General features: G+C 38.0%; 1 protein-coding gene across 3 annotated transcripts in view; it reads left to right on the forward strand.

Annotated features, from left to right (window-relative positions):
* The window catches only part of PSMD1 (proteasome 26S subunit, non-ATPase 1), a 115,961-nt gene that overhangs the window by 82,852 nt on the left and 8,486 nt on the right, over positions 1–24,623 (forward strand). For 2 of the 3 annotated variants that reach the window (NR_034059.2, NM_002807.4), the window contains 4 exons: positions 6,522–6,638; positions 13,846–13,948; positions 21,622–21,791; positions 23,917–24,009. Coding sequence is in view for 2 of the 3 variants with exons in the window: in NM_002807.4 (NP_002798.2) it covers positions 6,522–6,638; positions 13,846–13,948; positions 21,622–21,791; positions 23,917–24,009 (483 nt within the window). In the remaining variant the exon portion in view is untranslated. The remainder of the gene's footprint in view (positions 1–6,521; positions 6,639–13,845; positions 13,949–21,621; positions 21,792–23,916; positions 24,010–24,623) is intronic. The other variant, NM_001191037.2, reaches the window with a different exon arrangement.

Raw genomic sequence — 24,623 nt, forward strand, 5'->3', positions numbered from 1 at the left:
CTGATTTGATAACATTTCTGTTTTAAGCAAATCACCGATGTGCTATTTACCTGTTTTCTCATATCTAACCTTAATAGGTAACCTGGTATTTGTTAAGCCCTCAAAAGTTATAAAAAAAGAGTTGAATGGGGTAAGGTGATGATTTGAAAACATAATTCATCATGAGATTCATAAAGAAATGTGCTATTGCATAAATAACAAGTATTCATAATTCACAGCAGTGACATAATCATGACACTTTGACTCTCATAGCACATATGCACAAACCTTGGCCACCTCCCAGAAGTGAACCTTTTAACAAAGTGTGTATGTATAAGACTGAGAGCAAGGCTTTGCTCCCAGTGCCTTTGCATCAGAGAGAAAGGAGTCACTTTTTTTATCATCTGTTGTCCAAACTCAAAACAAAACATAGTTGTAAGTTTATGGACTGATTCCAGGAATCTAAAAATTTTAGATTCCTTGAATTTTTTTCCAATAAAGAATATTGGTATTGTGGGCCAGGCACTGTGGCTCACACCTGTAATCCCAGCACTTTGGGAGGCTGAGGTGGGCAGATCACGAGGTCAGGAGTTTGAGATCAGCCTGACCATCATGGTGTGAAACCCCATCTCTACTAAAAATACAAAAATTAGACAGGCATGGTGGCACACGCCTGTAACCCCAGCCACTCAGGAGGCTGAGGCAGGAGAATTGCTTGAACCCAGGAGGCAGAAGTTGCAGTGAGCCAAAATCCCGCTATTGCACTTCAGCCTGGGTGACAGAGCAAGACTCCATCTCAAAAAAAAAAAAAAAAAAAAGAGTGTTGGTATTGTGTACAAATAAGTTTTTCTAGTCACATGAAAGATTATTGAGGCTGGGAATAAAAATAGCTATTTTTGGCCAGGTGCAGTGGCTCACACCTGTAATCACAGCACTTTGGGAGGCCCAGGCGGTTGGATAACCTGAGGTCAGGAGTTCAAGACCAGCCTGGGCAACATGGCAAAACCCCAACTCTACTAAAAATACAAAAATTAGCCAGGCGTGGTGGCATGCACCTGTAATGCCAGCTACTCAGGCAGCTGAGGCAGGAGAATTGCTTGAACCCAGGAGGTGGAGGTTCCAGTAAGCCAAGATCATGCCCTTGCACTTTAGCCTGGGGGACAAGGGTGAAACTCCATCTCAAAAAAAAGGCCAGGTGTGGTGGCTTACACCTGTAATCCCAGCACTTTGGGCAACCAAGGCGGGTGGATCACCTGAGATCAGGAGTTTGAGACCAGCCTGGGTAACTTGGTGAAACCCCTTCTCTACTAAAAATACAAAAATTAACCTGCTGGGCGCGGTGGCTCACACCTGTAATCCCAGCACTTCGGGATGCCGAGGCGGGCGGATCACCTGAAGTCAGGAGTTCAAGACCAGCCTGCCTAACATGGCAAGAGCCTGTCTCTACTAAAAATACAAAAAATTAGTGTGGTGGCAGGTGCCTGTAATCCCAGATACTCGGGAGGCTGAGGCAGAATTGCTTGAACCCAGGAGGCAGAGGTTGCAGTGAGTGGAGATGGTCCACTGCACTCCAGCCTGGGCGACAAGAGTGGGACTCTGTCTCAAAAGAAAAAAAAAAAAAAGCTATTTTTCACTACACATGGCAACAATTGTGTAAAAATTTGTAAAGAGACATCCCTCCTTTCCAGTATTTCATCCTATTCTGTCTGCTTACCCTGCTATACTTTTTTTTTTTTTTTTTTTGAGACAGTGTCTCACTCTTGTCACTGTCACCCAGGCTGGAGTACAATGGGGCTATGATAGCTCACTGCAGCCTCAATCTCCCAGTCTTAAGCAAGCCTCCCAATTAGCTGGGACTGCAAACGCATACCACCATGCCAGGCTAATTTTTTTTTTTTTTTAATAGAGACTAGGTCTTGCTGTGTTGCCTGGGCTTTATTTTTCTTCACAGCACTTACCACCACCTGATATATTTTACACTTATTTATTGTTTGTCTTTGCCGAAATGTAAGATCACTGAGAATATAATGTTCACTGCTGGAACCTAAAATTAAAGCTTTGTTTGTTGCATGAATGATGGATGGCAAGATCATTAAAGGATGTGATGGTGACCAAGTTGGACATCATCTCTGTCATTACAGAGTTTTGTTTTTTATTTTTGTTTTTATTTATTTATTTGTTTGTTTATTTATTTATTTATTTTGAGATGGAGTCTCACTCTGTCACCCAGGCTGGACTGCAGTGGTGCAATCTCGGCTCACTGCAACCTCCGCCTCCTGGGTTCAAACGATTCTCCTGCCTCAGCTTCCTGAGTAGCTGGGATTACAGGCATGTGCCACCACACCCGGCTAATTTTTATATTTTTAGTAGAGGCGGGGTTTCACCATGTTGGCCAGGCTGGTCTCGAACTCCTGACCTCAGGTTGTCCACCCGCCTCAGCTTCCCAAAGTGCTGGGATTATAGGCATGAGCCACTGTGCCCGGCCAGTTTTTTTATTTTTAATTAATTTACTTATGTTTTAATTTATTTGGGGGGAGAATTTCTTACATGAGAATGTATCTTCAGTTTTACTAGAGATGTCATTGGGTATATCGAATGTAGTTATAGAAATTGGCCTTATTTTTTTTCTACAACACATCTGTTCTGTAAACAAAGGAAGAATATAGTTGTATGTTTTACTAAGTATTTCCCCCCTCGAGTCTTAAGTTGACATTTATGTCAGGCCTCATAAGTTAAATGTAAATTAGATTCTTTTTTCTTTTCAGATTATTCTGAACTTAATATGATATCTAGGAGCAAATGTTCTTTGAAACACAGCATCTGACAAGTTAATTGAATGAAAAGTTTTTTTATTACTCATACTAAACAAGCCTTTATTTCTAGATAATTTATGTGATCTAGGTATCAGTACCTATGTAACTAGTTTGGGACTTTTTTTTAATTATTTCTTAAAAACCTGAAACATCTGTTTATTCTAAAATATACCATTGGGGTTGTATTATGTACCTCAAAGGCCGAGTTACTGTCTTTTACCTTCTAAAATGGAAATTTGGTTATATTTTTATCATGACTACTTCATAAAGAATATTGACAATATGTTTGAAAAACATACTCCCTGTGCACAGTGTCATTACATGTTTCAGTAATGTAGGGAGAAAGGATACCCATATCTGCTGTGTGTATTATCTGTTAATAGCTCTAATTTTAATATATATATGTTAAGTTTACATGTAGAGGAATCCAAAGTCACTTTCCAACAAAGGATTCAGTTCATTCTTTTCCTTGGTCTTGGAATGAAGGATACTTGAGAAACATCCTACCAAATTAAGAAATATCTGATAATCTTACAAGCCTATTACTCTTTTCGTCCCAGATTTATACCTACCTAAGGACCTTGTAAGGGATGTTGTGGGGTTTTTTGTTGTTTTTCTTGTTGTTTTGTATTTTTTTTTTAACTCTAATCTCAATGACAGATTAAAGGAACGTTGTGGGTTTGGTTTGGTTTGGTTTGGTTTGGTTTGGTTTGGTTTGGTTTGGTTTGGTTTGGTTTAAGACAGAGTCTTGCTCTGTTGCCCAGGCTAGAGTGCAGTGGCGCTATCTCGGCTCACTGGAACCTCCACCTCCTGGGTTCAAGTGATTCTCCTGCCTCAGCCTCCCCAGTAGCTGGGATTACAGGTGCCCACCACCACGCCCAGCTAATTTTTGTATCTTTAGTAGAGACGGGGTTTCACCATGTTGGTCAGGCTGGTCTCGGACTCCTGACCTCGTGATCCACCTGCCTCGGCCTCCCAAAGTGCTGGGATTATAGGCGTGAGCCACCGTGCCCGGCCAGGGACATTGTGTTTTAAAGTGGCTCTTCCCAAAAGTCCTGCAGAGTGTGAATAGAAGTTATACGGGGCAAAAGAGTTTTTGATCAAATACATTGGACAAATGCTGGTATAAACAACAGTTGAGTGGTTTATAATAAGGCATCCTAGAACTTTTGTTATGATATGTATATTCCTAGAACCTTTGATACAGTGTATACATATATTTTGTATCTGCAAGAGGAGATGATATATATACAGTATGCCTGAACTCCCAAACTTATTTATTAAAGGACTTCTTTTTTCATAGAACTGATATTCTGAAGAATAGGATATTGGGGAAATACTGATAAATATTTTGGAAAATTTCATCACTTGTGGTCTTAGGAAGTGCAACCATGAAATCAATTCTAGTCTATGATTTCATTTGTTTTGCTATTCTACTAGCTAGTAAAATATTTTGTTTGGAAAATTTTGGGTTTTTTGTTTGTTTATTTTTTTGTCTTGATTTAACTTTTAAAATTAGGTCTTATAAAATCATCTGAGATGTTACCTTACTCTAATATTTGTTTATTACTATTTTTCTTTTTTCTTTTTTATATTAGAGACAGGGTCAACTATGTTGCGCAGGCTAGTCTTGAACTCTTGGGATCAAGTAGTCATCCCACCTTGCCTCTCAGAGTGTTGGGATTACAGGCGTGAGCCATCGCACCCAACCTTACGCTAATATTTGAAAGAGGTTTGTTTCCTTTTTTTTTTTTTTTGGAGACAGAGTTTCACTCTTGTTGCCCAGGCCGGAGTGCAATGGCACTATCCTGCCTCACTGCAACCTCTGCCTCCTTGGTTCAAGCGATTCTCCAGCCTCAGCCTCCTGAGTAGCCAGGACTTCAGGCACCCGCCACCACGCCCAGCTAATTTTTTTTTTTTTTTTTTTTTTTTTTTTTTTTGTATTTTTGGTAGAGACAGGGTTTCACCATGTTGGCCATGCTGATCACGATCTCCTGACCTCAGATGATCCACCCTCCTTGGCCTCCCAAAGTGCTGGGATTACAGGCATCTGCCACCACGCCCAGCTAATTTTTGTATTTTTAGTAGAGAAGGGGTTTTACCATGTTGGCCAGGCTGGTCTCAAACTCCTGGCCTCAATTAATCCACCCACTTTGGCCTCACAAAGTGCTGGGATTACAGGCACAAGCCACCACGCCCACCCAGCCTGACAGAGGTTGAATTATACAAATTTTGGATTCAGACTGGCCTGGGTTTGCTATCAGTACTTACTCGACTTTGGGCAAGTTATTTAACCTTTCTATCTCTCAGTTTCTTTGTTTATAAAGATTGTTTTGTGCTGGATTTTGTTTGTTTTAGGAGTAAGAGGGTTATATAGCATAATACATAAAATACCTAGTACTGTGTCTGAAAAGTAATAGGTGTTTATCAAATGTTAATCCCATTTTCTCTTAATTTTTTATGACCTCTTACCTCAAGACGAGAGCGCTCAGGTTCTAAAGCTTCCTTTTCACTTACCCTCAGTTATATTGAAATTTAAGTAAAGCATGACCAGTTCTAAACTATTCCATTCACGTAGTTGTTAATTAACTTCTTACTACACTGTTGGATGAAATTATTGACTTAGAGTGACAGTAGATATAGTTGTGCATCATTTAAGAACAGGGATGCGTTCTGAGAAATGGCAGTTCCGTGAATGTACAAACATCATAGAGTATACTTACACAAACATAGATAGTTATGGTCTGTTGCTTCCAGAATACATACCTGTACGTCATGTTACTGTACTGACTAGGCAGTTATGGTAAAAATACAGTATAAAAGATAAAAAATCATACAACTATATAGGGCACTTAACCCTGAATGGAACTTGTAGGACTGGAACTTGCTCTGGGTGAGTCAGTGAGTGAGTGTTGAGTGAATGTGAGGGCGTACGACACTATTGTCACTATAATAGACTTTATAAACACTGTACACTTTGGCTACTAAATGTATACATTTTTTCTTCAATAATTGATCTTAGCTTATCTTTTTTTAATAAATTTTTAATTATTTTTAATTTTTTGACTCTTGTAATAACACTTGGTTTAAAACACAAACCTGGGCGGACACAGTGGCTCACGCCTATAATCGCAGCACTTTGGGAGGCTGAGGTGGGTGGATCACCTGAGGTCAGGAGGTGGAGACCAGCCTGGCCAACGTGGTGAAACCCATCTCTACTAAAAATACAAAAATTAGCCGGGGGTGGTAGCATGCACTTGTAATCCCAGCTACTCTGGAGGCTGAGTCAGGAGAATTTCTTAAACCCAGGAGGCAGGGGTTGCAGTGAGCCAAGATCGCGCCATTGCACTCCAGTCTGGGTGACAAGAGTTGAAGCTACATCTCAAAAAAAAAAAAAAAAAAAAAAAAAAAATTGTACCATTGTACAAAAATATTTTTTCTTTATGTTCTGTAAGGTTTTTTCTGTTTTCAAAATGATTTATTTATATTTTTTAAACTTTTTTGTAAAAAACTAAGACACACATACATTATACTAGGCCTACACAGGGCCAGTATCATCAATAAGTCACTTAGGCAATAGTAATTTTTCAACTCCATTATAATGGGACTACCATCATATATGCAGTGTGTCACTTCCCAGAATGTCGTTACATGGCATGTGACTATAAATTGAAAGTTCAGCCATATCAACTTTATTTAAAAGTTGTGTGTTTTTTTAAATTCTTTCAGGAAGCCATTAATTTGCTAGAACCAATGACAAACGACCCCGTGAACTACGTGAGGCAAGGGGCACTCATAGCTTCAGCTCTCATCATGATCCAGCAGACTGAAATCACTTGTCCAAAGGTGAGCAAACAAAGAAATTCCCTGGAAGAGAGATGGTTTGGTCTTTTCTTTAGTAACTTATCGTCTTTTGAGGACGTTTTTTAGTTCAAATATGGTAAACACTGAAAGTAAAGTAAAAGTAAAGAGAGCATTTTAGAGTATAAGAGAATGGGGAAACTTTAAATATGTAATGCTCTTTAAATGTATTTTTTAGACTTAATGGTCCCTTTGTTAATTTAAGTATATAACCATGCTTGAAAAATTAGAACTCTTGGGGTGTTAAAACCGTAAAATGAACTCTTTTTTTGCCTTTCACTGTCCTTTTAAAATGTATTCAGTGGGATAACTTTTTCCTCTGATAATATAGGATGCAAACTTAGGCAGTCCATGCCTTTTTTGATCTGTCCTTCTAAAGTAATTTTTAAAAAGCCTGCAGTCACTTTGTATCGTACATACCATCTTAGTTTAGAAATGAGTACATCCACATTCTCTTTTGGAATGTCATTGCCCTCCTAGGCGATCTTTTTGGGTGGAGTTCCAAATGGCTCCAAGACAGCTTTCTTTTCCACTTGACCCACATCTGCTCCACAGAAACACTCTTGTACATTTTGCCCTTCTGCATAGGAATATAATAGGATGTCAGTGCTAGTACCTCAGCTAATAGCTAATGTCTCAGTGCACAGCAGCCCCTGATCATATTGGACACTCCAAGTGGACCCTCTGAACCCCTATTCTGTAAACTTGGAGTGAGGGGGAAAGACTCACAACCCAGCTTGCCCCAAAGAGATCCTCTTCACATATCCTCCACAATCCACACCCACCTTGTGGGTGACTCCATAATAGTTTTGAGACACCTGTTTTAAAATTCTCTGATGAGCCCAGCATGGTGGTTCATTCCTATAATCCCAGTACTCCCGGAGGCTGAGGTGGGAGGATCACTTGAGCCCAGGAGTTCAAGGCTAGCCTGGGCAACATAGGGGGAGGCCCCATCACTACAAAGAATTAAAAAGGAATTAGCTGGGCATGGTGGCATGCGCCTGTAGTCCCAGCTATTTGGGAGCTGAGGTGGGAGAATCACTTAAGCCCAGGAGGCCAAGGCTGCAGTGAGCTGTGGTTGTGCCACTGCACTCCAGCCTGGGTGACAGAGCAAGACCCTGTCTCAAAAAATAAAATAAAATTATCTCATGATAATCTCTCAGTCCTCAGGTTGTTAGTGTTTGATATCTCATGTATCTTGTCATTTCAGCCAAAACTTCTCATTCTACTAAGAAACAGAAAATGCATGTATCTTATTTTTAATACATGTACTAAAATTAGCATTGATATACTAAATAGACACGTGTAGCTTACACAACAATTTCAGATCTTCTAATTCTTAAAGCTAGGGACTTTAGTATCCATGTATTAATTAATCCTGCTCATATAATGGGAAGTAGTCAAAAAATTGACAACAGAAAAAACTGTTGGCATTGTGTCTTATGCCTCATCGAGCAAATAATAGCACACCACCCTCATTTTCAGCAAAGTAGATTTGAGGAGGTAGAGAAAAGAAAAATTTCCGGAACTCATTGATTATTCTAATTTTATGGAGCTTTGTTTAAAAAAGTTCAAGTTCTAAACAGTTGCTGTCATCTTTGCTTCATTTATTTAGTGCTTCTATTTCTGTCTCAAAATCATTTTCAGGACTTTCAAAAATTGTATTATTACAAAGATAGAATCTGACTTCTCATCCTGTTTTTATAACGTATTACTTAATATACTACATCTTCTAGAACATAAACATCTTTCCAAACACCACATTTCTTTTTGTTTTTAAATATAGCAGCTATCATATGAGTAGCTTTTACATATTTTATTTCTGCTTTTGATCTTCAACTGAGCTTTTGGAGGTTATCCAACTGAGTAGTGTCATTAAAGAAACAAATTTTGGTCATGGAATGCACCTCCTCTAACAGTAATACATAGACATTCACTTTGACCCCACATGTTGCTTTCATGTTACTTGTATTGTCAGCAAGACAAATGTTCTGTCTTCCCATCCTCTGCTGTAGGATTTCATTGATTTTACAATTATAATCTCTGTTCCAAAAATGGCAGAGTCCTTTAGGAGCTGGATAATCATTCCAGGAACTGTTATTGAACCAAGTCTTACCTGGTGCAGATACATGGGGCACACTCCCATCTTCAGGTTGTATCGGAATCTTAGACACTGATTAAAATGTCAAAGTGAAGTCACAGCTAGTAGCCTTTGCCAGTAATATAAACTGGGTAGATAAATGTAAGTGTATATACCACTGACTAAAAAAGCAAAATTGACATGTGAAACTCAAAAATTCTTTCAGGAAACACTACTCTTTAGAGCAAAGTTGTTACTCAGCTTAAGAATTCTTAAAGTTAATTTCATTGTTTTCTGTTATTAAGCAAGTGATAAAGAATTTCATAGACTACAGTTTATATCATCTTTCCTTTATCTGATAATTGCCAACAAGACAAAATTGACATTTTGGAGATGGTATACAGCATGTTGCCAAAAAGAAAAATCTGTTGAGAAACTCTGAAGGGGAGTAGATTCTCAAGGCTACAGAGTCTTAATTGCAAGATTGCAAAACCAGTCCATGAAATAAAGTGGAAATGGCTCAAAAATAAAGATCAAATGTGAATTTCATCAAGAGTTATAAACCCCTCTCAAAGGAATTCAAAAGAGAAATTTCTCAGGTATTTTGTGAAATTCACAATGGAAATTCCCAAAGGAAATGTCTTATGTAACCATTAATATATGTCACATCCCTAACACTTAGCTCCACACGTTGCCCTCTTAGTTGAAGTATCTCCAGTACATCTTTGCTTTGCTTCTCTCAGTTTCTCGCTAGCTCATGCTCACAAACATAAACCCAGGAACATGCACACATCCCTGGATCAAAGGTTCACATTTAACAAGGGTAATGTTCTTTTTTAGGTCCTTGGAGCTATTTTGCTCTAAAAACCCAACTCTCCTCTTTATTAAATTATCTATCTTTTGTTTTTCTTGTTAAATGAAATCCACCATTAAGATGGGCACAGTGGCTGAGGCAGGAGACTCGCTTGAGCCTGGGAGTTCAAGGCCAGCCTGAACAACATCCCAAGACCCTATCTCTAAAAAACAAACAAAAAAATCACCATTAACAGTTACTCGAACATGTACATATTAAGTATCATATATAAACTCACATCAAAATATTACACTGTAAATATAGAATCTGGTGTTCCTATTACCAGTATTACTTGGCCTAAGGCCTGGTACAGGAAAGCTTCTCCTATCATTGACAAGTACCCTCTTTGGAAGTAGAATTAAGCTCCTGCAGTTCTAAAATAAATCACTGTATATATGATTTCACAGCATAACACATTTGTAAGTAGTAGTCTATTACCACACTGTCATTTTAAGATAGGGACTTGGACTCTTACAGTGTTAGTGGTAATAAAAAAGAAAAAGGCTACAGAAACTACTCTAAGCAAATTAATGCTGATAAAATTGAGGAGGGAGCTGAAAACTCATTTGGGATCCTGATAATGGGGAAGTCATGATAGCATCAACAAGAATATTTTGAAGGAAGAATACAGATAATATTCATTTCAGGCATATTGAGTTTGACATGACAGCATGTCATTGGAAACAACATGGGAGCATAGGAAAAAAATTAGACGCTAAATACGGAGATTTGGGAACTAGCCATAAAAAAAATTATATAGGCCAGGCGCAGTGGCTCACGCCTATAATCACAGCACTTTGGGAGGCCAAGGCGGGTGGATCACGCGGTCAGGAGTTCAAGACCAGCATGGACAACATAGCGAAACCCCGTCTCTACTAAAAATACAAAAAAAATTAGCTGAGTGTGGTGGCAGGCGCCTGTAGTTCCAGCTACTTGGGAGGCTGAGGCAGGAGAATCACTTGAACCTGGGAGGCGGAGGTTGCAGTGAGCCGAGATCACACCACTGCACTCCAGCTTGGGCGACACAGTGAGGCTGTCTCAAGGAGGGGAAAAAAAAAAAAGTATATATGTCTATATAGATATATACAGATATATATACACATATATAGACATATATATAGAGACATATAGAGACATATATATATGTGCGTATGTGTGTTTATAGCCCTTTATCTACCATTACAGAATCCAGAAAGCTCTGAAAACTCAGAGGTTTGTTTGTTTTTCAAGACTCATTTGGATGCAATTATTAATTCATTATCATTTATCCTACTTAGTATAAATATTCATATATTGTGCTACTTCAGAAATAATTTATTTGATTATGGGATATCATAATATATAGAGCAGTACTACACTGGGAGTATTGTATAATATATGGATATGTATCATGTTAGCCTTCTAAATTCTGAATTCCAAAATACATCTCACCTCAAGGATTTCATGGAAGGAATTACAGACATATATTTGAAGTCATAAGCACAAATATAATTTCACAGACAAAAAAAACACCTCCAAAACTGATCCTTGATGTACAGCTACATTTCCATAACCAGGAAGATAGAAAAATAGAAAGGAGGAGTAACACTCAGATGATAAGTACCAACAGAAACAACGCTAAGGAACTTTATTGCTTTCTCCCTGATATCTAAGAGTGGGCTTTTTTCCAGCAGTATAGGGTATACAAGTAAAAACATGATGAATGTTTAAAATGCAGCTTTTTGAGAAGGTAGATTTTAAATACTCCTACATAGTACAATGCATGGATCACAGCGTTGCATAAAATTTTAATTGTCTTTTTTTGTGAGATTGTTGTGATATAAAATGGAAAGCTAATATGATTTTTCTCCTGGAAATTCTACTTTTTGTTTTTTTTGGTGGGGGGAGACCATACTATTCATAACAATGAAATTGAGTTAGAAAATCTTAATCCTCACCCTGATTACCATTAATTGCTTGTGATAGCAAGCAAACCAATTGTTTTGCTTGTCTTTTTAGTCTTCATATCTGTAACTAGATGTGAATAGAGGGAGTAGACCAGATGGTCTCAAAGCTGACTTCGAAATTTAATGTATGTCCTAATCTATCAAAATAATTCTTTACCAAGAATTACAATAATGAAAATTAAGTTACTGATACATAAGAAATAAAATGTGAGAAAAAAATTTAAAATGATAAAAACTAGCTTTTTAAAGCATTCTATTTAATATTAGTTAGATAAGCCTATTGTATAGTTGGACTGATTTTTTTATCCATTTGTCAGTTTTACTGAATGCTTTTCTATTGTTTTGGGTACAATTTTAAATTTAAATTTTCCCTATAATGTACATTCAGTGCTTTGTTCTATGTTTCTTTTTATAACTTTGTGAAATACTTCTTAAGCCTTTAGCACATAAAATTTCCATACTGTATAAGGTAATGTAAATGTTCATCTAAAATAAGTTCAGAATCAAAGGAACTTGACTTGTCGAACCAGAATAAAAGCGTCAAACATGAGAATTTTTTTTTTTTTTTTTTTTTTTTTTGAGATGGAGTTTTGCTCTTGTCGCCCAGGCTGGAGTGCAGTGGCACGATCTCGGTTCACTGCAACCTTTGCCTCCTGGATTCAAGCGATTCTCCTGCCTCAGCCTCCTGAGTAGCTGGGATTATAGGCGCCTGCCACCATGCCCAGCTCATTTTTTGTATTTTTAGTAGAGACAGGGCTTCGCCATATTGGGCAGGCCGGTCTCAAACTCCTGACCTCAGGTGATTCACCTGCCTCGGTCTCCCCCAAAGTGCTGGGATTACAGTCATGACCCACCTCACCCGGCCACGTGAGAATTTTTTTAAGTAGAGGGGAATTTAGTGATGATTTAATCATGCTAGGTTTTATAGTTAAAGAAATCCTGAGAAGTAAGTGACTTAAGTGGTTGTGTGCTGGGTAGTGGCAGAGTTAGTTCATTGTTTCCCCACTATATTCTGTTGCTGCCTGTGAATAAAAAATGAGAACCATGTTCAAGGAATATTATTTTGTTAGTAGCATTTAGATTGCAGAGATAATAGGAGGGATTGGTAGGATTCTTCCCCCATATGGTGAAACAGTCATGCTTATTGAACTATGAAATGCCCTTTATACATTACACGACGTATATGTTACCTCATATAATCCTATAATAGCCATGTAAGGTAGGTGCTAACATCCCTGTAGAGATGAAGATACTGAGGTTCATAAAAGGTAGTAACTTACCCAAACAGCTTATAAGAACAGCTTATAAGCCAGGGTTGTGTGATTCTATTATTCTGCCACTGTATCACATTGTGGCCTCCCAGACCAAGACAAATGAAAAGGGGGAAAAGATTCTGAAAGAATATGTAATGCAGATAAAGTCATTATATTAGGAAACTCAAATTTGATATTTTCTGCTTTTGGCAGATTTGGGGAGCTCCATGATTATGTGCTTCTTGAACAAGCCGACTTCTTCCTGGGTGCCTACCATTTGAAAAGCACTGTTGGGAAAACAGAGAAGTGTAAGACATAGAAGAAGCATAAAATAGTTTACTTATTGTCACCCAAACAGATTTAAAGGAATATTAATTATTCATACAGAATATATTTTATAAATATATGTTCTAATCATAAAAATAATACATATTAATTTTAGAAAATGCAGAAAGGATAAAGAATTACCAGTAATCCCACCTTAAGTGAGTCAGCACATTTTCCATTCCGATACTCTCCTTTTGGTACGAGTACACATTCTGACAAGTCCTCAGAAAATTAATGTGAGTAGATAATGGAAATCTTTACTTTATGTGAATATACTTCATGCAAAAGATACCTCACACAGCTTTGGTGAAGGGTAATTTACTTTAAGGTGGAACTGAAGGACCATGCTTTTTAGGAAACCCGCAAGGTTGGTGGTAAACAGAATAGCTATAATTCAAAATGCAATGAAAGCCTTAGTGTTTGCTTGGACTTTTTAGGCCTGCTGACTAACAGTGGTAATGTATGAAATCGCATTCAACATTCCTTTGACCTTGAAACATCCACTGTGGAATGAGGATTCAAGACAGAGCTGGTGCTCCCACACTAAAAAGTCATAACACCCGTGATTGCAACCACGGAACTGCTCTGCCTTCAAGTCTGGTCCATATCCCTCTCTTGAGCATTACGAAACTCAGAACTAACTCATTATCATTGGAGCAATATTATTCCCTGTTCTAAAATGGTACCGCAAATGAGTAGACTTAGACTATAATTCTTTCTCTTGCTCCTTCAGGTGAATCAGTTCAGACAGCTGTATTCCAAAGTCATCAATGATAAGCATGATGATGTCATGGCCAAGTTTGGCGCTATTCTGGCCCAGGGCATACTGGATGCAGGTAAATGTTTTTAAGTCTTCAAGATTTATTTATTTAAACTAAATCTAATAAAATAACTATCTGCTCTAACTATATGACATAATGGAAATTGAGTCTGAGGCAAATTATTCCTGGAGAAAATTTGGAGCCTGCAGTTCACAGAGATCATGTACATTTAAGAGTACAGGCCGGGCGCAATGGTTCATGCCTATAATCCCAGCACTTTGGGAGGCCGAGGTGGGTGGATCACCTGAGGTTGGGAGTTCGAGACCAGCCTGACCAACATGGAGAAACCCCATCTCTACTAAAAATATAAAATTAGCTGGGCGTGGTGGCACATGCCTGTAATCCTAGCTACTTGGGAGGCTGAGGCAGGAGTATCACTTGAACCCAGGAAGTGGAGGTTGCAGTGAGTCGAGATCGCGCCATTGCACTCCAGCCGGGGCAACAAGAGCAAAACTCGGTCTCCAAAAACAAAAAAACCAAAAAAAAGTACAGGCTGTTGGCCAGGCACAGTGGCTCATGTCTGTAATCCCAGCACTTTGGGAGGCCAAGGCAGGTGGATCACCTGAGGTCAGGAGTTCAAGACCAGCCTGGCCAACAAGGTGAAACCCTGTCTCTACTAAAAATACAAAAAAATTAGCCAGGAGTGGTGGCATGCACCTGTAATCCCAGCTACTCAGGAGGCTGAGGCAGGAGAATCACTTGAACCTGAGAGGCTGAGGTTGCAGTGAACCGAGATTGCTCCACTGCACTCCAGTCTGGGTGACAGTGACAGTGGTGACAGTGCCTGTCACTTAGTAAAGTGACTGTTGGTTGGTTTTTTGTTATTTTTCTTTTAAGACAGAGTCTCACTCTGTCACCCAAGCCGGAGTGCAGTGGCGCAAGCATGGCTTGCTGCAGCCTTAACCTCCTGGGCTCAGGCAATCATCTTGCCTCAGCCTCCCAAGTAGCTGAGACTACAAGCATATGTCACCACACCCAACTAATTGTTTAAACTTCTTGTAGAGATAGGATCTCACTATGTTGCTCAGGCTTGTCTTGAACTCCTGGACTCGAGCAGTGTTCCCACCTCGACCTTCTGAAGTGCTGGGATTATAGCTGTGAACCACTGTGCCCAGCCAATTTATTTTTCCTTTAATTTTCTTAGTATTATATGAATTTTAAACAAGTTGACATTGAATCATTTTTGAGGAAAACATATTTTAAATAAATTCTAGCAGCCAGATCACTTATAAAATAAGGTAAGTTGAATATTTACCTAATAAATGCATACAGAGCACACTGTGCCATCTGGCTCCAGAATTCTCACCATCCACCATAATACCATAGTCTGTTTCAAAAGATAGAGTGGTGGGCTTTAGTTCCTTAGACTTGGAGTTCATTTGACATATGCCTTAACGTTATTATTGGTGACCTCTCAATAGGATAAGAGGAGAAGAGCAGATACATACTTCATTCTTCAACTATGTGATTCTTTTTCTTGATGTACCCTATCCATGTGAATATAATCCTTTTTATTTTTGCTAATTTGAAAGGTGAGGAATAACATCTCAAGGTTTTTATAGCAGTTCTAGTATTAAGGGAGCATTTTTTTTCACATTTATTAGCCATTGAATTCTAAGAAAAACACTGTTAGCCTTATTTGTTGCAGTCATTGTTTCCTCAGTCAACTAGGAATGTGTGTATATTTGTAGTGAAGGAGATGAGGAAAAGAAGCTGCTATTAATTTGATAACTGTCATAAATTTTTGTTTTTAATCTTTTTGGGTTTTCTACTTGCTGAGAGTGTTTTAATCATACCACAGTTTTCAGAGTCCTTTTATAATTTTAGATAATCTCCCTCATATGGCCTCTTTCTTTAAAAAAAAATCCATATCTCCTTTCTAATTTGATTAATCCTTTTTTCTTTATTAGGTTTGCCAGTAATTTCTCTATTTATGTACTTTGTTCTTTTTTTGTAAATTCTTTATTTTTGATCTTATCTTTATTATTTGCTGTTTTATAACTTTGGTGTTCTTTTCTAAATTTTTGAGGCAAATGTTCCTCTCTTTTAACTTATTTGTCTAATGGAGTTTTTTGTTTGGTTGGTTTTTGTTTTCCAAGAAGTTGAGAGTTTTCTGGTTAAAATTTTAATATTGAGGCATAGTTTACTTTTCTCTTTCTTTTTAATTTAAAAAATATTTCCTTGCAGCTGTTTATAGATAAAAAAATTCTATAAATATTTTAGGTAAAGTAAACCGTTTCAATTCTAGATGGTATTGATTCCCTCCCATTTACAAGCTACATATGTAGGTTTCCATAGTTTCTCCCTTCTCACTCTTCACTACCTTCCAATATTTTTATATTATGTTTATGTTGTCAACAGTTTGTGATATTTACATTGTCTTCAGAAATCATAATTCTTACAATTGTACGGTCTTAGTTTCATATTTAAATGGATTCAGTGCCCATTTCTTTTATTGCAGCTTTTTCATTCTTAGGTTATCTGTACTAAGTCTAGACACTTAATTGGCTGGATTTTATCAGTAATTAAGTTTTATTAATTGGGCTTTTAAAATTTTTTAGATTTACAGAAAAAATTGAGGAAGAAATGCAGAGTTTCCATATGTCCCCTTTGCCCCTCCAATTTCCCCTGTTATTGGCATCTTGTGTTAGTGTGGTATATTTGCTTACAATCAATGAGCCAATATTGACACATTATTATTAACTAAAGTCCCTAGTTTACATTAGAGTTCACTCTTTATGTTGTACATTTTATGGGTTTTGACAGATCTTTAATGACATGTGTCTACCATAACAGTATGATACAAAATAGTTTCACTACCCTAAAAATTCCCTGTGCTTAACCTATTTATCCCTCCTTGCCCTCCCCACAAGTCCCTGACCTTTTTACTGTCTCTGTAGTTTTATTTTGTTTTAATAGATAAAGTTTTGAATTTATTGAAAGTTTTTTTATAATATCCTCTTACTTTTTCAATGTCTGTGGAATCTGTAGTGATATCCCCTTTTTCATTCTTTTTCTTTTTAAAAAACTTATTTATTTTATTAAGGTATGGTTGATAAATAGAAATTATACATACAGTGTACATGGTGCTTTGAGATATATATATAGTAAAATAGTTAAATCAAGCTAATTAACATATCTGTCACCTTACATACTTATCATTTTTTGTTATGAGAAAATTTAAGATCTCCTTAAGTAATTTTCAAATATACAGTACATTATTATTAGCTGTAGTCATCATGCTGTACTATAGATCTCCTGAACTTACTACTTATCCTAATTGAACTCTCTCCACAGTTTTAGTTTTGCCTTTTCCAGATTTTCATATAGTTTGAATAATACATTATGTAGCCTTTTCAGATTACTTCTTTTGGTGGTGAGTATTTAAAACAACATTTAGGGATAACATTTTACTGCTCTGTAATCTTTTTTTTCTCTTTTAGCTGCCACTTTTTAAAGTGTATGATTTTAGACTACACCCCTTCACTTGTTCACCACTACCACAGTTTTTTGCTGGTTTTTACTATATTTGGGTTACTTGTTAAGAATTGGGGGAGACTGCTCTGGGCACACTACCTGTAGGGTAGCCCTGCTCTGCAAGGAGCAATACAAAAAAAGAAAAATAAATTTTTAATTAAAAATATAAAATTATATATTAAGAAAAAAGAATTAGGGGAGGATAATTCTATGTTTCGCCTCTTCTCTGCCAGATTTACTACAAGTCATCTCACTGTGTTCTCTTCCTTCCTCTTTCAGCCTCTGTTTGTCTTTTCTTTTTCTTTTTTTTTTTTTTTATATCTTCTTTTTTTGTTTGGGGCTTTTTTACTTTATCTGTTTGTCTCGTGGACCAATCAAGTTTTGGTGCTTCTTTCTGTTTCTCTTTATTTATAACAATTTTTGCTTTAGACATTTATTACATAAAAGTTCTTTTTTTTGGGGGGGGCCAATTCTGTCACCCAGCCTGGAGTGCAGTGGCATGATCTCGGCTCACTGCAACCTCCACCTCCCGGGTTCAAGCAATTCTCCTGCCTCAGTCCCTCCTGTAGCTGGGACTACAGGTGCACACCGCCATGCCCGGCAAATTTTTTGTATTTTAGTGGAGACTAGGTTTCACCGTGTTGCCTAGGCTGGTCGCAAACTCCTAATCTCAGGCAATCCACCCACCTCGGCCTCCCAAAGTGCTGGGATTACAGGTGTGAGCCACCACACCTGGCCCTACATAAAAGTTCTATACTGTAGTGTTCACTGTTATGAGCATAGAATTAATCTCATGTCCTTTTTCACTTTTTAATATCCTATCCTCGTAGAACACTGTGCTGCAACTGCGTTAGAAAAATTTGCAGTCTTGATCTTCTCTCAGTAAAATTAGTGGTAGTAGGCCTGGCTTAGTGGCTAACACCTGTAATCCCAGCATTTTGGGAGGCCGAGGTGGGTGGATCATTTGAGGTCAGGAGTTTGAGACCAGCCTGATCAGCATGGTGAGACCCTGTCTCTACTAAAAATACAAAACTTAGCTGGGCGTGGTGGTGCATGCCTGTATTCCCAGGTATTCAGGAGGCTGAGGCACGAGAATTGCTTGAGCCTGGAGGTGAAGGTTGCAGTGAGCTGAGATTGTGCCACCGCACTGCAGCCTGGACGACAGAATGAGACTCCATCTCAAAAAAAGAAAAAAGAAAATTAGTGGTAGTAGAGAAAAATCTAGAGAGGGCAACTTCAAGGGAAGGAATGAAGTTGAAGTTTATGAGAACTCACTCAGTGATTCAGTCTCTTCCGGGAGAAAAGCCGAAGATAAAGAAGTTGATTGAAGTTTGTTAAACTGCAAATTATCAATATGATAAACTCTACCTTATTTATTAAATCTCAGAATGTTAGAACAAAAGGCTAATTTAGCTTCGAAGTCCGAAGAAGATAGATTTCATTGAACTAAAAGGAAATTCAGCTTCAAAGTTAGATCAAATAGCACGTTAGCTAGGCATCGTTTTCCTCTCTTCTGCCCCTCCCCAGTCTCCATCCCAGGTTAGTTACTATGTCTTAGTGAAATGTTCCCACTAGCACCCAGGTTTATAGCTATCATAATACTTTCATATCTTATTTTAATTATCAAATTATCTGTCTTCTTTGTGAGACTGGAGTCTCCTTAGGATCTTTTCCAGTATGTTATTCACAATCCTCAACATATAGTTAGCATTCAGTGAATGGGGGTTAGCGTAGGGAAGAGTACAAGTAGACAATAAATGTATATAATTCATTTCTATTGGAAAAACAAGATTAAAGTATACCTGGCCTTTTTTTCAGATGAAAAATTTAAATACCTATAGTGGAGTATTAAGAAAATCTAGATTATTTGGTTGAACAGTAGAACCCTGATTCTTATAAAAATTAAAATGCTGCTTGGTTTAGTCAAGTCAAGTCAGTGTTTGGTTCTTGACTCCAAGCAAAATGTGAAGATGCCTATAAAACACTGAGATCAAGAGAAGAGAAATGTAAGCAACAGGAATCCACATTGGAATTCCAATTAAGACCCTGATTAGGCACAGACAAGCCCCATTTTTATAGGATATATTATTTAAATGAAGATTCTTGCATTTCAAAGTTCTGTGATCCAGCACTAACTCTGTTACCATCTAGCGCATGGGCCAAATCTGATAATGGTGTATTTTGTTTTGCCTGCCTAACAAAATTTGCAAGATTTTGGACAAAATCCATAGTCTACTTTTAAAAACAAAATGACCTAGTGACCCTGGACCTACACTGTAGTAAGATGTTCCCTTTAAATAGAACATGTGTTTTCCAGTTTGCTTCAGTTTTAAAAACAAAATGACCTAGTAATCCTGGACCTACACCCCCAGTAACAAGCTCCCTTTAAATAGTACATGTACTTTACAGTTTGCTTCAGTCCCCACTGCTCCCAGCCCACTTATTCCTTATTTGTTTACTTGACTTGTTCCTAAAGGCATTTGAGTTGGTAATCCCTCATAGCCTCCTAGAATCTCAGCCTTACAAGGGCTCACCAGCTCTCCCCAACTGATGGCTTGGATCTTAGCTCTAGTTCACTGGCTTTCAAACTTTATCTGCACTCTAGAGGAATAGTCTAGGGCAGCAGTCCACAACCTTTTTGACACCAGGGACAGGTTTCATGGAAGACAATTTTTTTTTCTACGACGGGGGTGGGGTGGTTTCAGGATGAAACTTTTCCACCTCAGTTCAGTAGGCATTAGATTCTCATAAGGAACGTTCAGCCTAGATCCCTCGCGTGCGCGGTTCACAATAAGGTTCACATTCCTATGAGAATCTAATGCCACAGCTGATTTGACAGGAGGCAGAGCTCAGGTGGTAATGCTCACTTGCCCTCCGCTCACCTCCTGCTCTGCAGCCAGGTTCCTAACAGGCCATGGACAGGTCTGCAGCCCCAGGATTTGGGGACCCCTGGTTCCAGGCCATATATTCTCCCAGCAGTCCAAACTTCTGATTAAACAGAAGCAGCTCTGATTTCATTCCTTTACATATTGTGTTTCCTTAGAAAAATTTCAGTTAGGGTTAGAGGTTAAGTTTTCTTTTGTAAGTGGTAGTGCTCTCGTTCAAGTGTTCAAATTCAACCCCTCATTTTGCTAATGGGAGAAAAGGAATTAGAAATAAAGTGTTTTGTCCATGGTTACAGGGCTAGTTAATGTCAGAGCTCCTCCCACCAATTTAAGTGGCTTAATAATTCGTAGGGTAATGCTCAATGCTTTCGTAGATTTTTATATAGCTGCATATAAATCTTCATAATTTGTAAGGGATATTTCTCAAAATTCTAATAATGTTTATGCTGCTTAGCACCTAAAAGACCAAGAGTCAGAACATATTCTTTACTGTTTTATATAAATTTTTATAAATGTGTAAGTATATTATAAATATGTATTTGCATATGATTGAAGCGGAAAGAGTAAAACTAAGCAAACTATCTATGCTTGCCTCTGCTATGGTGTGCAAAAAGTATATACTAAAACTTTGCTTTTTATTAACACATGAAAAGCCAATATATAATGCAGATTAATACTTAATTTAGCATCACAGTTTTGATACCCTTCAGGCCTAGTTTTTGAAAAACGCCTGCCTATAGAGAAAGTAAGTCTAGATGTGTGCTAAATCCAGTTAAAAGTACACTTCCAATTTTGGAGAGCCTGGATAACTCACTAATTCCAAGGACTGCATATTAGACTGCACATATGAATTGTGCTTTTAAAATCATCACCAGATGTTTCCCTACTGCAGCACTTACAAATCTTTATTATTGCCTGGGTGTAGTGCCTCACATGCTTGTAATCCCAAGACTTTGGGAGGCTGAGTCGGGAGGATCATATGAGGCTAGGAGTTTGAGACTAGCCTGGGCAACATAGTGAGACCCTCGTCTCTACAAAAAATTTAAAAATCAGCCAGGTGTGGCGGCCCGCACATGTAGTCCTAGCTACTCGGGAGGCTAAAAGAGGAGGATCCCTTAAGGCCAGGAGGTCGAGGCTGCAGTGAGCCATGATCGTGCTGCTGCACTTGGGTGCAGTGTTTCACTCTGTCACCCGAGCTTGGGTAACAGTGAGACCCTATCTCTTTAAAAAAAAAAAAAAGAAAGAAAGAAAGATATCGTTATTATTGTCCTACTATAATAATAGGACAATACTATTATTGTTCATGGTTTCTCTCTTTTTCTACAGGTGGTCATAATGTCACAATCTCCTTGCAGTCCAGGACTGGGCATACTCATATGCCTTCTGTGGTTGGCGTCCTTGTATTTACCCAGTTTTGGTTCTGGTTTCCTCTTTCACACTTCCTGTCATTGGCTTATACCCCTACCTGTGTCATTGGCCTTAACAAGGACTTAAAGGTATGTCTGTGAGACCTCAGCTTTGTAGTATTTCCTGTTCACCGTATCTTATTCATATTTACCGCCCACTTGCAAGGATTTCCATTAAATTTTAAAGATGAGTTAACATCTTATAATAACATTTTCCCTTCAAGTTGAATCGTCACCTTTTTGAATGGAGTGTGTCATTGAAAGTTTTGAAAAGCATATCTCCTTACTAGCTGTGTAACTTCAAGTAATTAGTTGAGAAAGAATGGTGAGAGAGGGGGCTAAATATAAACATACGAAGAGGCTTTATATACCACTCTGATGAATTTTATTTAATACTAAAGCCTGGGAACTGTCGAAGGATTTCAAATGATAAATGAACATGAGATTTCCATTTAGAAAGATCTTTCTGGTATCAGTGGAAACTCATTACAATGCTATTGCAGTAGTCTGGGCAAGGAAGAATGCAAACCTAAACTAAATCTTCCAGAGTTATCTGATACTCGAGTGGTTGATGGAAGAAAGAATTATTACTAAAGGGAAAAAGCAAAATAGGAGGATGACCCTTTGGTAGAAGCAGGAAACAAGACCAACTGTGAGGAGCTAGGGAATCTGATGGAATGTAACTGCTGACTTAAGTCAGAAATTTAAGGCACTGCGTGCCCTGTCATCACATTTGTGGTCATATTTTTTTAATGGAGTTTGTGTTTAGGTCTTTCTTAGTCCTGTGACTTGATGATTCATCTTCTTGTTCTTTAAAAGTCAAAAGGCTTTTTGACCTTTAAATAACTCTTACATCTGGTCATCACTGTTGAAATGTTCTACTAAATTTTCAGAGTGGAAAAGTTTTAGGCTTAAAACTGACTGGTAAAAATAGAATATTTCTTTGTATTGATTTTTCAGTATAGCTGTACAGCCAGTTATCCTTCGTTAAGTGTTTCGGTATTAAAACTGCTCACATTTGTAAATATTGAGCAGCTTTATTGTCAGAACAAGAATCCCTTGGTTTCCCAATCCCCAACTTTTAACATTGTAATTAAACATCCTGTATAACCTATTTTATTCTCTGCCAAACAATTTTATGACTGCTGTTTTTACTCTTTGTGATGAAAATGGGATGGAGAAGATAAGGTTCTTTGTCCTTATGGTGGTATTTATTATCATCCTCCATCAATGCAGATTGGGTAAATAGAGAAAAATTCAGGCCGGGTGTGGTTGTGCACATCTGTAGTCCCAGCTGCTTGGGAGGCTGAGGCAGGAGAATCGCTTGAACCCAGGAGTCAGAGGTTGCAGTGAGCTGAGATTGCACCACTGCACTCCAGTCTGAGCAACAGGGTGAAACTCTGTCTCAAAAAAAAAAAAAAGAAAGAAAGAAAGAAAGGAAGCCGAGGCGGGTGGATCACGAGGTCAGGAGATTGAGACCATCCTGGCTAACACAGTGAAACCCCGTCTCTACTAAAAATACAAAAAAAATTAGCCGGGCATGGTGGCGGGCACCTGTAGTCCCAGCTACTCGGGAGGCTGAGGCAGGAGAATGGCCTGAACCCGGGAGGCAGAGCTTGCAGTGAGCTGAGTTTGCGCCACTGCACTCCAGAGCCTGGGCAACAGAGCAAAACTCCGTCTCAAAAAAAAAAAAAAGAAAGAAAGGAAAAATTGAGACCAAAGAACTTTAAAACTGGTCACTAGGTAATGTGAAGCTGACTTTCTATTAGGCTCATGTTACACTCTTACAAGGCATGATTATATATGGTGTGGAAATTGTATTCAGGCTAGTGTAAGTTACTAGTCTGGTACAAAGAAGGGAAATGGCAGTTTGTATGCAGGATAGACCATCAAATGCTTTACAAAGGAGAGAACAGTTGATCTGATGCTCACACCATGAATAGGACTTACCCATTGAAGCAGGTTGGTTTGTTCATAAAGATAAAGGGATGCCCATTCAAAGGCACAGAGATTAAGAAAAGTATAGAGAACTGCAGGTAATTCTGTAAAGAACCTAAAAACTAAATCAGTAAAAGTAGACATGGCTTTCAGAGAGGAGTCATAACATAGTTGAACATACAGCCTGCATTAAAACTTTGGTCTCCTTTTGTATCCGTATGCCTGTGGAGAGCACAGAGTACTTAAAGCCAATGTTATTTTAATGGAATTTCTTCAGATGCCGAAAGTTCAGTATAAATCGAACTGTAAACCATCCACATTTGCATATCCTGCCCCTCTGGAAGTACCAAAAGAAAAAGAAAAGGAAAAGGTAGGTTCTTTGTTCCTTTTAGCAGCATTTGTACTTAAATATAGGAGCCACTGAGTATTTTACTTTTTCTTTAACTATCTTTTATGTTTTAAAAGTAACACTTCTTATGCTAACATTTGACATTACACAAGAATATGAAGTGAAAGTCCTTTTTGTCTCTTGGTCATCCAAGTCTCATGTCACAGGAGTCACAACTTCTGAATCCCTCTGAAGGTTTTCTCTGCACATGTCAGTACTTTTTATACCACGAATAAAATTATTCTCTACATACTTTTCTGCATCTTGTTTTCACATTAACTATATTTTTTTTTATTTTTAAAACTTTCAATGTATACAGATCTCATTTTTTCCCAGAGCTGCAAAACAATGCCTTTACTATGTGTAGTACTGTTTGTTTTACCAGTTTTTTCTTTGATATTCATTTAAGGTTATTTCTCATTTGTTAGCCCTACACAAGTGAGCCTGGAATTGAAAGTCTTTATACACATGTATTTGTGCACTGTGTGAGTATATCTGTAGGTTAGAATCCTGGATGTCAGGTTACTTGATCAAAAGTAATGCACATTATGTTCATAGTTATTAACTAATTTGCCTTTCAAAATGGACATAATCAC

The sequence above is a fragment of the Homo sapiens genome, chromosome 2 (genome assembly GCF_000001405.40).
Source record: "Homo sapiens chromosome 2, GRCh38.p14 Primary Assembly".
In the NCBI taxonomy this organism is placed as follows: Eukaryota; Metazoa; Chordata; class Mammalia; order Primates; family Hominidae; genus Homo; species Homo sapiens.